At 38.0% G+C, this 13,791-nt stretch overlaps 1 protein-coding gene across 52 annotated transcripts in view; it reads right to left on the bottom strand.

The window, feature by feature from the left end:
• EHBP1 (EH domain binding protein 1) overlaps positions 1-13,791 on the bottom strand; it is a 372,610-nt gene that overhangs the window by 289,913 nt on the left and 68,906 nt on the right. For all 52 annotated transcript variants that reach the window (XM_047443744.1, NM_001142615.3, XM_011532718.4 and 49 more), the window contains one exon: positions 9,123-9,180. In XM_047443744.1, the coding sequence (XP_047299700.1) occupies positions 9,123-9,180 (58 nt within the window). The remainder of the gene's footprint in view (positions 1-9,122; positions 9,181-13,791) is intronic.

Below are 13,791 nucleotides of genomic sequence, written 5' to 3'. Positions count from 1 at the left end.
TGGTCTAGAACTCCTGACCCTCAGGTGATCCACTTGCCTCGGACTCCCAAAGTGCTGGGATTACAGGCATGAGCCAACACGCGCAGCCTAAAACAGCATTTTCATAAATACATGAACATACTGCATCATACTAACTTTTCACAAGAAGTACATCTGTGTTTCAAGAGAAATCACAATGATTCTAACGTATTCAGGAAAGATTTTAAAATGTTAAGAGCATTACAAACGGAAAATTCATCCAACAATAAGTAATTTCTTCTACAAAATACTATATTCTATGAAAATCAACCTGTAGCCTCATATGTTTGCATTCTGGATTCAAACAATGTTTGATACAATATGAAAAAGAATCTGGACCTCACAGAGAAATTATTTGACTAACTTTTCAATCTTTTCAATGTAAATGCAATGAAATAAAAAAGAATATCAAACATCAAATATAGGTATTCTTTTTTTTTTTTTTTGTAGAGAGGGGGTTTCACCATGTCGCCCATGCCGGTCTCAAACTCTTGGACTCCAGTAATCCATCTGCCTCAGCCTTCCAAAGTGCTAGGGTTACAGGCGTGAAGCACCACAACCAGCCAGGGTATTCTTAATTGACCTATAATCTAACGCATTTCCTTATGTTTCTCATTTTCTCTTAGACAATAATTGCTATCTAATTTTTTTTCAAGCCCTGAATGTGGCATTCAAGCTAATTATTAAAAGAGATAAATTGTTTTTTGTTGATAACTAAAAACATTTAGAGGCTATTTCTAAAATTTATAGGTCTAGTCATATTCACCTATTATACTTAGTGGATAAACTTATATTGGTCCTTCCCACAAAAGCTTATATTGACCAACAAATGTTATGTTTCTTTTTAAAACCCCTTCTCATATGTTAATGGTAAGAAGGCATTCAAATTATAATGCTCTCAAACTATAAACATATGCTTTAAAGATGCTGCTGCTCAGGATGTGAGGCCACTGAAACTCTTCAATATTGCTGGTGAGAGTGCGTGGCAATTTCTTACAAGTTAAAAATGAACCTACCCTATTACCTGGTTATGCCTTTCCTTGGGATATGCCCAAGATAAAAAAATACTTTTCCCCAAAGACACTTGTACAATAATGTCTATAGCAGCTTTATTCACAAGAGTAAAAAACTGGAAAAAAAAAACAAATGTTCATCAACACAGGAAGAGATAATCATATTGTAGTATATTTGCATGGAGGAATACTACTTAGCAATAAACAAATAAACTACCAAAACACAAAACACCATGAACAAATCTCAAAAACGTTATGTCAAGCGAAACAAGCCTGACTGTACTACTGTACTATTTTACATGAAACTCAAGAACAAGCAACACTAGTCTTATGGTAACAGAAAATCAAAACAGTGTTCACCTCTGAGGGTTGGGAACTGCCTAGAAGAGGAACAAAAGAAAAAAGTGGGGGTGGTTACAAGATGGCCAAATAGGAACAGCTCCAGTCTACAGCTCCCAGCGTTGAGCGATGCAGAAGACAGGTGATTTCTGCATTTCCAACTGAGGTACCGGGTTCATCTTACTGGGGCTTGTCGGACAGTGGGTGCAGGACAGTGGGTGCAGCCCATCGAGCATGAGCCGAAGCAGGGCAAGGCATTGCCTCACCCGGGAAGTGCAAGGTGTCAGGGAATTCCCTTTCCTAGCCAAGGAAAGCTGTGACAGACAGCACCTGGAAAATCGGGTCACTCCCACCCTCATACTGCGCTTTCCCAACAATCTTAGCAAACGGCACACCAGGAGATTATATCCCGCTCCTGGCTCGGAGGGTCCCACGCCCACAGAGCCCTGCCCATTGCTAGTACAGCAGTCGGAGATTGAACTGCAAGGCAGCAGCAAGGCTGCGGGAGGGGCACCCACCATTGCTGAGGCTTGAGTAGACAGAGCAGTCAGGAAGCTCGAACTGGGTGGAGCCCACCGCAGCTCAAGGAGGCCTGCCTGCCTCTGTAGACTCCACCTCTGGAGGCAGGGCATAGCTGAACAAAAGGCAGCAGAAACCTCTGCAGACTTAAATGTCCCTGTCTGACAGCTTTGAAGAGAGTAGTGGTTCTCCTAGCAGGGAGTTTGAGATCTGAGAACAGACAGACTGCCTCCTCAAGTGGGTCCCTAAACCCCGAGTAGCCTAACTGGGAGGCACCCCCCAGTAGAGGCAGACTGAAACCTCACACGGCCAGGTACCCCTCTGAGATGAGGCTTCCAGAGGAAAGATCAGGCAGCAACATTTGCTGTTCAGCAACATTTGCTGTTCTGCAGCCTTCACTGGTGATACCCAGGCAACAGGGTCTGGAGTGGACCTCCAGCAAACTCCAACAGACCTACAGCTGAGGGTCCTGACTGTTAGATGGGAAACTAACAAACAGAAAGGACATCCACAACAAAACCCCATCTGTATGTCACCATCATCAAAGACCGAAGGTAGATAAAACCACAAAGATGGGGAAAAAACAGAGCAGAAGAGCTGAAAATTCTAAAAATCAGAGCACCTCTCCCCCTCCAAAGGAACGGAGCTCCTCGCCAGCAACGAAACAAACCTGGACGGATCATGACATTGACAAGTTGAGAGAAGAAGGCTTCAGACGATCAAACTTCTCCAAGCTAAAGGAGGAAGTTCGAACCCATCGCAAAGGAGCTAAAAACTTTGAAGAAAGATTAGACGAATGTCTAACTAGAATAACCAGTGTAGAGGACTCTTTAAATGACCAGATGGAGCTGAAAACCATGGCATGAGAACTACGTGACAAATGCACAAGCTTCAGTAGCCGATTCAATCAACTGGAAGAAAGGGTATCAGTGATTGCAGGTCAATTGAATGAAATGAAGTGAGAAGTTTAGAGAAAAAAGAACAAAAAGAAACAAAGCCTCCAACAAATACGGGACTATGTGAAAAGACCAAATCTACGTCTGATTGGTGTACCTGAGAGTGACAGGGAGAATGGAACCAAGTTGGAAAACACTCTCCAGGATATTAACCAGGAGAACTGCCCCAACCTAGCAAGGCAGGCCAACATTCAAATTCAGGAAATACAGAGAACGCCACAAAGACACTCCTCAAGAAGAGCAACTCCAAGACATATAATTGTCAGACTCACCAAAGTTGAAATAAAGGAAAAAATGTTAAGGGCAGCCACAGAGAAAGGTCGGGTTACCCACAAAGGGAAGCCCATCAGACTAATAGCAGATCTCTCGGCAGAAACTCTACAAGCCAGAAGAGAGTGGGGGCCAATATTCAACATTCTTAAAGAAAAGAATTTTCAACCCAGAATTTCATATCCAGCCAAACTAAGCTTCATAAGTGAAGGAGAAATAAAATACTTTACAGACAAGCAAATGCTGAGAGATTTTGTCACCATCAGGCCTGCCCTACAAGAGCTCATGAAGGAAGCACTAAACATACAAAGGAACAACCAGTACCAGCCACTGTAAAAACATGCCAAATTGTAAAGACCATCGATGCTAGGAAGAAACTGCATCAACTAACGAGCAAAATAACCAGCTAACATCATAATGACAGGATCAAATTCACACATAACAATATTAACCTTAAATGTAAATGGGCTAAATACTTCAATTGAAAGAAACAAACTGGCAATTTGGATAAAGAGTCAAGACCCATCAGTGCGCTGTATTCAGGAAACCCATCTCACGTGCAGAGACACACATAGGCTCAAAATAAAGGGATGGAGGAAGATCTACCAAGCAAATGGAAAATAAAAAAAGGCAAGGGTTGCAATCCAGGTCTCTGATAAAACACACTTTAAACAAAGTGTGATAAAACACACTTTAAACAAAGACCAAAAGAGACAAAGAAGGCCATTACATAATGGTAAAGGGATCAATTCAACAAGAAGAGCTAACTATCTTAAATATATATGCACCCAGTACAGGAGCACCCGGATTCATAAAGCAAGTCCTTAGAGACCTACAAAGAGACTTAGACTCCCACACAATAATAATGGGAGACTTCAACACCCCACTGTCAACATTAGACAGATCAACGAGACAGAAAGTTAACAAGGATATCCAGGAACTGAACTCAGCTCTGCACCAAGCAGACCTAATAGACATCTATAGAACTCTCCACCCCAGATCAACAGAATATACATTCTTCTCAGCACCACACCACACTTACTCCAAAATTAACCACACAGTTGGAAGTAAAGCACTCCTCAGCAAATGTAAAAGAACAGAAATTAAAACAGTCTCTCAGACCACAGTGCAATCAAACTAGAACTCAGGATTAAGAACCTCACTCAAAACCGCTCAACTACATGGAAACTGAACAACCTGCTCCTGAATGGCTACTGGGTACGTAACGAAATGAAGGCAGAAATAAAGATGTTCTTTGAAACCAATGAGAACAAACACATAACATACCAGAATCTCTGGGACACATTCAAAGCAGTGTGTAGAGGGAAATTTCTAGCACTAAATACCACAAGAGAAAGCAGGAAAGATCTAAAACTGACACCCTAACATCACAATTAAAAGAACTAGAGAAGCAAGAGCAAACACATTCAAAAGCTAGCAGAAGGCAAGAAATAACTAAGATCAGAGAAGAACTGAAGGAGATAGAGACACAAAAAACCCTTCAAAAAAAAAATGAATCCAGGAGCTGGTTTTTTGAAAAGATCAACAAAATTGATAGACCGCTAGCAAGACTAATAAAGAAGAAAAGAGAGAAGAATGAAACAGACACAATACAAATGATAAAGGGGATATCACCACCGATCCCATAAAAATACAAACTACCATCAGAGAATACTATAAACACCTCTACACAAATAAACTAGAAAATCTAGAAGAAATGCATAAATTCCTGGACACATACACCCTCCGAAGCCTAAACCAGGAAGAAGCTGAATCTCTGAATAGACCAATAACAGGCTCTGAAATTGAGGCAATAATTAATAGCTTACCAACCAAAAAAAGTCGAGGACCAGATGGATTCACAGCCGAATTCTACCGGAGGTACAAGGAGGAGCTGGTACTATTCCTTCTGAAACTATTCCAATCAATAGAAAAAGAGGAAATCCTCCCTAACTCACTTTATGAGGCCAGCATCATCCTGATACCAAAGCCTGGCACAGACACAGCAAAAAAAGAGAATTTTGGACCAATATCCCTGATGAACATCCATGCAAAAATCCTCAATAAAATACTGGCAAACCAAATCCAGCAGCACATCAAAAAGCTTATCCACCATGATCAAGTGGGCTTCATCCCTGGAATGCAAGGCTGTTTCAACATACGAAAATCAATAAATGTAATCCAGCATATAAACAGAACCAAAGACAAAAACCACATGATTATCTCAATAGATGCAGAAAAGGCCTTCGACAAAATTCAACAGCCCTTCATGCTAAAAACTCTCAATAAATTCGGTATTGATGGGACGTATCTCAAAATAATAAAAGCTATTTATGACAAACCCACAGCCAATATCATACTGAATGGGCAAAAACTGGAAGCATTCCCTTTCAAAATTCACACAAGACAGGGATGCCCTCTCTCACCACTCCTATTCAACATAGTGTTGGAAGTTCTGGCTAGGGCAATCAGGCAAGAGAAAGAAATAAAGGTATTCGATTAGGAAAAGAGGAAGTAAAATTGTCCCTGTTTGCAGATGACATGATTGTATATTTAGAAAACCCCATTTGTCTCAGCCCAAAATCTCCTTAAGCTAATAAGCAACTTCAGCAAAGTCTCAGGACACAAAATCAATGCGCAAAAATCACAAGCATTCTTATACACCAATAACAGACAAACAGAGAGCCAAATCATGAGGGAACTCCCATTCACAATTGCTTCAAAGAGAATAAAACACCTAGGAATCCAACTTACAAGGGATGTGAAGGACTTCTTCAAGGAGAACTACAAACCACTGCTCAGCGAAATAAAAGAGGACACAAACAAATGCAAGAACATTCCACGCTCATGGATAGGAATAATGAATATCATGAAAATGGCCATACTGCCCAAGGTAATTTATAGATTCAATGCCATCCCATCAAGCTACCAATGACTTTCTTCACAGAATTGGAAAAAACTACTTTAAAGTTCATATGGAACCAAAAAAGAGCCTGCATTGCCAAGACAATCCTAAGCCAAAAGAACAAAGCTGGAGGCATCATGCTACCTGACTTCAAACTATACTACAAGGCTACAGTAACCAAAACAGCATGGTACTGGTACCAAAACAGAGATATAGATCAATAGAACAGAACAGAGCCCTCAGAAATAATACCACACATCTACAACCATAAGATCTTCGACAAACCTAACAAAAACAAGAAATGGGGAAAGGACTCCCTATTTAATAATTGGTGCTGGGAAAAGTGGCTAGCCATAGGTAGAAAGCTGAAACTGGATCCCTTCCTTACACCTTATATAAAAATTAATTCAAGATGGATTAAAGACTTAAATGTTAGACCTAAAACCATAAAAACCCTAGAAGAAAACCCAGGCAATACCATTCAAGACACAGGCATGGGCAAGGACTTCATGTCTAAAACACCAAAAGCAATGGCAACAAAAGACAAAATTGACAAATGGTACTTAATTAAACTAAAGAGCTTCTGCACAGCAAAAGAAACCACCATGAGAGTGAACAGACAACCTACAGAATGGAAGAAAATTTTTGCAACCTACTTATCTGACAAAAGGCTAATATCCAGAATCTACAAAGAACTCAAACAAATTTACAAGAATAAAACAAACAACTCCATCAACAAGTGGGCAAAGGATATGAACAGACACTTCTCAAAAGAAGACATTTATGCAGCCAAAAGACACATGAAAAAATGCTCATCATCACTGGCCATCAGAGAAATGCAAATCAAAACCACAATGAGATACCATCTCACACCAGTTAGAATGGCAATCATTAAAAAGTCAGGAAACAGGTGCTGGAGAGGATGTGGAGAAATAGGAACACTTTTACACTGTTGGTAGGACTGTAAACTAGTTCAACCATTGTGGAAGTCAGTGTGGCGATTCCTCAAGGATCTAGAACTAGAAATACCATTTGACCCAGCCATCCCATTACTGGGTATATACCCAAAGCATTATAAATCATGCTGCTATAAAGACACATGCACATGTATGTTTACTGCAGCACTATTCACAATAGCAAAGACTTGGAACCAACCCAAATGTCCATTAATGATAGACTGGATTAAGAAAATGTGGCACATAGACACCATGGAATACTATGCGGCCATAAAAAAGGATGAGTTCATGTCCTTTGAAGGGACATGGATGAAGCTGGAAACCATCACTCTCAGCAAACTATCTTAAGGACAAAAAACCAAACACTGCATGTTCTCACTCATAAGTGGGAATTGAACAATGAGAACACTTGGACACAGGAAGGGGAACATCACACACAGGGGGCCTGTTGTGGGGTGGGGGGATGGGGAAGGGATAGCATTAGGAGATATACCTAATATAAATGACGAGTTAATGGGTGCAGCACACCAACATGGCACATGTATACATATGTAACAAACCTGCACGTTGTGCACATGTACCCTAGAACTTAAAAGTATAATAAAATAAAAAAGAAAAAAGTGATTAAAACAGTCTGTATCTTTACAGAAGTGGTAATTATACAAGTATACATATTGATCAAATCTTACTGAATTATAAAATTAAGATCTGTGTATTACACATATGTAAGTTTTAGCTCAATAAAAATAAAAGACTTGAAAAGAGGCCCTAAATAAAAAATTTTAAATACAGAAAATTGTAGGATTTCAATTAAAACTAATAAAGTTTTCTTTATACAGGTCTACTTGTAGAAAAACCAACATTCAATAAACATTCTTGTGGTCATTGTATACTAATAAAAAATATAGTCACATTTATTTTAGAACAGAATTTTGTTTTTAGAGACAGTCTCACTCTGTCACCCAGGCTGGAGGGCAGTGGCACAATCTTAGCTCAATAAAGCTTCAAACTCCTGGGCTCAAGCAATCCTCTCATCTCAACCTCTTCAGTAGCTGGGACTACAGGTGCATCACCACACTTGGCTAATTTTGTTTTTGTTTTTGTTTTTGTAGATATGGGGTCTCACTATGTTTCCCAGGCTGGTCTTAAATTCCTAGCCTCAAGCGATCCTCCTGCCTTGGCCTCCCAAAGTGCCAGGATTACAGGCGTAAGGATAGAATCTGGCCAGGATAGAATTTTTTAAATATCTGTAGAACTGTTATTGAATATTATAAAATTCGGTTCCACTCCCCACAAACAAAATTATCAGTACCAAAAGAAATTAAAATCTTTGAAAAATCCAACTCCTCTTCTGCACCCCAGCAACAGACTCAGATAACTCGTAACTTCTTAAGTGTGCCCTAACTTCGTCATCTTGTAATCTAAATAAATTAATCTTAGGTACAATTTTGTAAGTGGTACCTGTTTAATCATTAATTCTTAACACTGTAGTACAGAGAAGTAACTTAACTATTATGTTATTCAAGGCTACTGTCTCAGTCCATTTGTGTTGGTGTAACAACATGCCGCAGACTGAGTAATAAATAAAGAGCAGAAATCTATTTTCTCACAGTTCTAAGGGCTAGAAGTTCAAGATCAAGGCATCGGCATCTGGTGAGGGCCTTCTTAGTGCATCCTCATGTGGCAGAAGGCAGAGGGCAAAAAGGAAACAAACTCCCTCTATCAAGTCCTTTTATAAGGATGCCTAATTGAATTCACAAGGGAGAAGTCCTTACCCTAATCACTTCTTAAAGGCCCCCCACCTCCTTATATTAGGTTGGTGCAAAAGTAACTGCAGTTTTTGCTATTACTTTTAAGGCAAAACCGCAATTACTTTTGCACCAACCTATTCTATTACATTGGCAACACCTGATTTTTTTCAAACCATAGTAATTACCAAATCCAAGACCAAAACTCAGGTATCTGGCTCCCGTTTTGAGAACAAGCAGTTAAAAGATTATAGCATCTGATCAATCCATTTTCAGTAGACAATCAAGAAAAAAAAACAAAACATCAAGTAATATTTTAAAATATTCTACACTGGAACCAGAGCAGTTTGCTAATTTGTATTCAACAATTAGGTAAGAAATTTAGAAAATACACTAACCTTAGAAGACTTCCTTCGGCTTCTTCTGGTCCAAACTACCACCAGTTTATCTGGTTGCCTGCCAAACAAAAAAAAAGTTAAACATAATTTATCTTAAATAAATAAAGTTTCATTTTAGCGCCTTTAAAAGGGCAAAAATGTCATCTGCTTTAGGCTACATAAAGCAGCTACTGTTACAATAAAGCTCTATCAAATATAGTAGATGTTAACTACAGATGTGACCTAATTTGCATAACTAATATTTCCTCCATGTCCTTTTCCAACAATACTTTAGCAAGTTAAATCACAGGGACAAACCAAGTAAAATAAAATATTTAGAACTGGTCTATTTTAAAAAGAAAAAAAGCACACACATATCTTCTCCATAAATTAACACCATACTTCTAACACATTATTCCCTTTAATGTGAAGTAAACAAGCATAAAAAGGGCACTTGCAAAATAATTTAAATCTATGAATTCACTACTTTTGCATCTCTGTATCTCATGAACAATGCTTGTGGTTTTTAAAACATTATTATAGCCAATCATCTCAATCTTCATTAAAAACAATACGGTACTGAAAAAATAGGCAAGGTATATACTATTATCCCTATTTTAGTTAAGCTTAAAAGACTATTAAGTTAAATAATCAAAAGCTCTGGCAGAACCAAGACTGAAATACAGGTCTTCTAATCTCAGATTTCTCTTCTCTATCTTCCACTAATATAAAGTCAAACAAAAATAATACATTTTCAGGTAAAATTAGGTTCGTGCAAAAGTAACTGTGGTTTTTCCCATTCCTTTTAACGACTAAAACCGCAATTACTTCTGCATCAACCTAATATAACTAAGTTCTCTTTTGTTCTTATGAAAAACATCAAGATTATGATTATCACTTATTTTACTTAAATTTTCATTTTAAAAAATCTTAGATAAAAGCTTCTTAACCAAGAAATGAAAGTCATACTCATCTTGTTGACCTTCACCACTTTCTATGTCCTGTTCATTTTACACTGGAATCCCGTGCTTTCAGCAGATAACCTTTCCTCCTATTTCATTTAATTAAATACATATATATATATACACACACATAAGAGGCCTCCAGCCTTAAACTCCTCACTCAGCGATCCACCTACAAACCTATACTGCTATCTAGAGAGAGTTATACCAATGGAAAAACAAACAACCGTTAAAAGAAAAACAAAAAAAACACCTTGTTCAACACAGAAACCTGCACTAGGACAATTCCAGTGAGTAAGAATGGAGTGCGGTATAACAACATGATAGATGGGGTTGGGAAGAAGGTATGATCTATGATGGCAAGTTAACAAGAGGAGAACAGTAGCCAACAAATGTAAGCTACCTCATTTGAAAACATTGATGGCTTGCCAGAACATTTTACCTAGATTACTGCACTAACCTCTTCACTTATGCTCTCATCTCCACAGCTCCAGCACAATTTCAACTCTGAAATTATATTTCGACAGTACTTTTATAGAAATGCTATCTTACAGTTTTTCCTTGTTTATCATCCTATGCTGGGCTCTTAAATTGAAGGTACCACCAACTGGCCCTTGCAGGTTGAATTTTACAGGTTTACTTGACTGAAAGAGTATTCTATTTTATTTTAAACTTAAACTCTTTTAAAAAGTTCTTATTTAAATGCCTTTAAACAAGGCCTATGCTGTCCAGATTAGGAGAGCCTCCAACACTACCAACTGCTTCACACCTGACCAGCTTCACTCCTTAAAATGATCTATCTAGACCCTATGTGCATTTGGCCCTGTGACACCCTTGTTTCTCAACACGGCTTGTAAGGCATTTCACTCACCACTTGACTCTGATCTATCTCTCTAGCTGTATAACCTGCAAATATCTCATAGGCATCTTGCTCTATAACCAACCCCTGAACACATATTTCTTCATTTCTTCACATCTTTGCAATGTTACAATGTTTAAAAAAACACACACACAAAAAAACTTCCTCTTCCATTTTTCTACCTAGTAAACCCCTAATTTATCACTTTCTCTGTGTAACCCTGACCATTTCTCATGTCATCTCCTGCCCCATCCCCTCCCACCCATTCCATATTCTAAGCCTCAGAGTTAATTACACCTGTGTTCCCAATAACAACCTAGACACACCTATTTTCTATTTTAATACTCTATACACCTTGCATTGTAAGTATTTATTATTTCTGTCTCTCACACTAGACTGCACTATTTTATCAACCACGTCTTATTTATCTTTGTAATCCTACCAACTAATAATCTAGTACAAGGTTGAGGTTCAATGAATATGCGGCACTGAATAAACCTTAAGTTTCATCCAGGAACTCCCAATTGGTTAATTATAATTGATGAGGTCCAACTGAAGCCAGTAGCTATATAATACATCATCTCTGCAACTCATCCAAGCTTTGCAGGGATCCTTATTCTTGCTGCACATTAAAATAAAAACTCTAGGGAAGCGTTTCTAAATACTGATACCTAGGTTCCAGCCCTGGATAATCTGATTTAATTGGTCTGGTGTGCAGTTTTTTAAATTTCACAGGTGACTCTAATGTGCAGCCAAGGCTGACAACCACTGTTTGACTTGAAAGTCTAGTGAGGCATTACCTGTGATGGCAATGAGAGTGTGTCCCCTACACAACATCCTCCTAGTGCCACCTGAACTGTTGCCTCATTCTAATGCTTAGCACCCTCCTGCCACTTAACGCATCTCAGTGCTTCAGAAAATGAAAGCTTTTTAGCATAAAAAAGCAAGAAGGGCGGTCTCCTAAGCTGTATATATGCCTGATGTTCCAAGAATGTAAATAGATCAAAAGTCACTTATTTATGAATGCCCCCAAAGATGGCTAAACATTTTTGTGATTTTAAGTCATGTTAACATTTTAAATATCTTCACTAGAAATCAGTCGACTATTTAATTATCGGGAACAAACTGAGGCAGTGTTCTAAAATAAAGAACTGCTGTGGGTTATTCTTCTCAATAGAAGGGCACCAAGAACCACATCACTGGCTGTCCACAATTAATATTTTAAGCATTCATGCTACACTAGAAAAGAACCATTAAATATTTACTTATATACTCCCAAGAGACCACAGACAGGACAGTTATGAGCGTTTTCTCCAACTACCAATAAACCTACAATTATACAACTTCCTATAAAAAAAGTCAAGAAAACCTGATAGACAGGGTTTCAGAGAGAATTCAACAACTACATATTTAACATCTCTATCCCATCACTTCAGTTTAGTTAGTAGGTAACCCTATATATGATACACATTTTTATATATTACATGTAAACATTTTATGGACATACACATAAAATGTATGCACAGTCACACTTCCTGTGAAATCTGTCTAAAGGGCTCCATTGGAAAATTTGAGGCCTTTTGGTTGGCTTGTTCAAGGAAGGAAATTGTGCATTTAAAAATAAAGATTTAACACCTTCTATCCTATCTCCAAAGCCATTAAAAAGGAACATCTTAAATCTGAAGACGGCATGCTTTGTCTCATATTGTGCTCCTGACGTCAAATTCTGGAAAGGAAGAAAGAGGCTAGGAAAAAGGACAGGAGACAGCAGTGAGGAAGAGCACAGAGGACTGAAGTGGAGAAGAGAGGAGAAGCTAAAAGGAGAGCTACAATATTCAGATTATAAAGCAATTAGCTTGAGCTTTCCCTGGCATGCAACTAAGGCATGCCCTCCTCTTCACCACTAAGTGAGCTACTGTGTATGAAAACTAAGTTTAAAGAAAAACATTTCTGGCTTAAATTTTAACTCCTTTACTCTTTTCCACTCTCTGATTATGACACATGTGTGAGGTGAAACTTTAAAAGCCATGAGAAAAACCCGAAACTATCACATGAAAATCAGTCCCATCACTTTCCATAATCATAATAAGCATTCGACAAATATTTTACTGAATGCCTACTATGTTCCTGACACCATGCTGAGCAATGGAGATACAAGGATGAAAGAAAGATCCACTGGAAGTTCACAATCTAGTGGGGAGACAGACCATTAAACCAACTACCCTAGTCCAGGCACAACCTTGGAGAACATAGAGAAGATGAAAAGACCTTAGCTTAAAGAAACTATTTATAAATATCTCAGGAAAAAACATGAACAGTGACAGAAAGAACCTGCCCAACCACAGAGATTACTAAATTTAAAATTTGTAAAAACTGTAATTTACAATGACACTTTCAATGTAAAGCCCAAAAAAAGATGAGGGACTAATTACAGTATGTCTATTTACTAGAAAATCACACAGGCATTAAAAATATTTTCTAAGAACATTTGCAAACATAGGACAATGCTTAGGATATCATGGTCAGTTTATTTCATATAGATTTTAATATTTCTATACGATATAATAAGAGAAGAACCAAGAGGAAATACCTCAAAATGCTATCTGTGTTTATTACTGGGAAGTAAAATTACATGTCATTATGCTTTTCTGTATTTTCTACCATGAATTTATATTACTTTATGCTGGTGGGAGGTATTTAAATGTGGGGAGTGAGCTATTAAAAACAAATCAGTTGCACACTTATTAAGAAGCAGAATAAATAAATACATACAAATCAGCACTTTTAAGTTTGGAATTAATTATGAACAGACAGAATTAAATAAATTATTTTGTTTAAATTTCAGAGAAATCACAAAGCCCTCAAACAA

The sequence above is a fragment of the Homo sapiens genome, chromosome 2 (genome assembly GCF_000001405.40).
Source record: "Homo sapiens chromosome 2, GRCh38.p14 Primary Assembly".
Taxonomy (NCBI): domain Eukaryota; kingdom Metazoa; phylum Chordata; class Mammalia; order Primates; family Hominidae; genus Homo; species Homo sapiens.
Note: the sequence above shows the minus strand (reverse complement) of the source record. Positions and strands in the feature narration are given on the sequence as shown.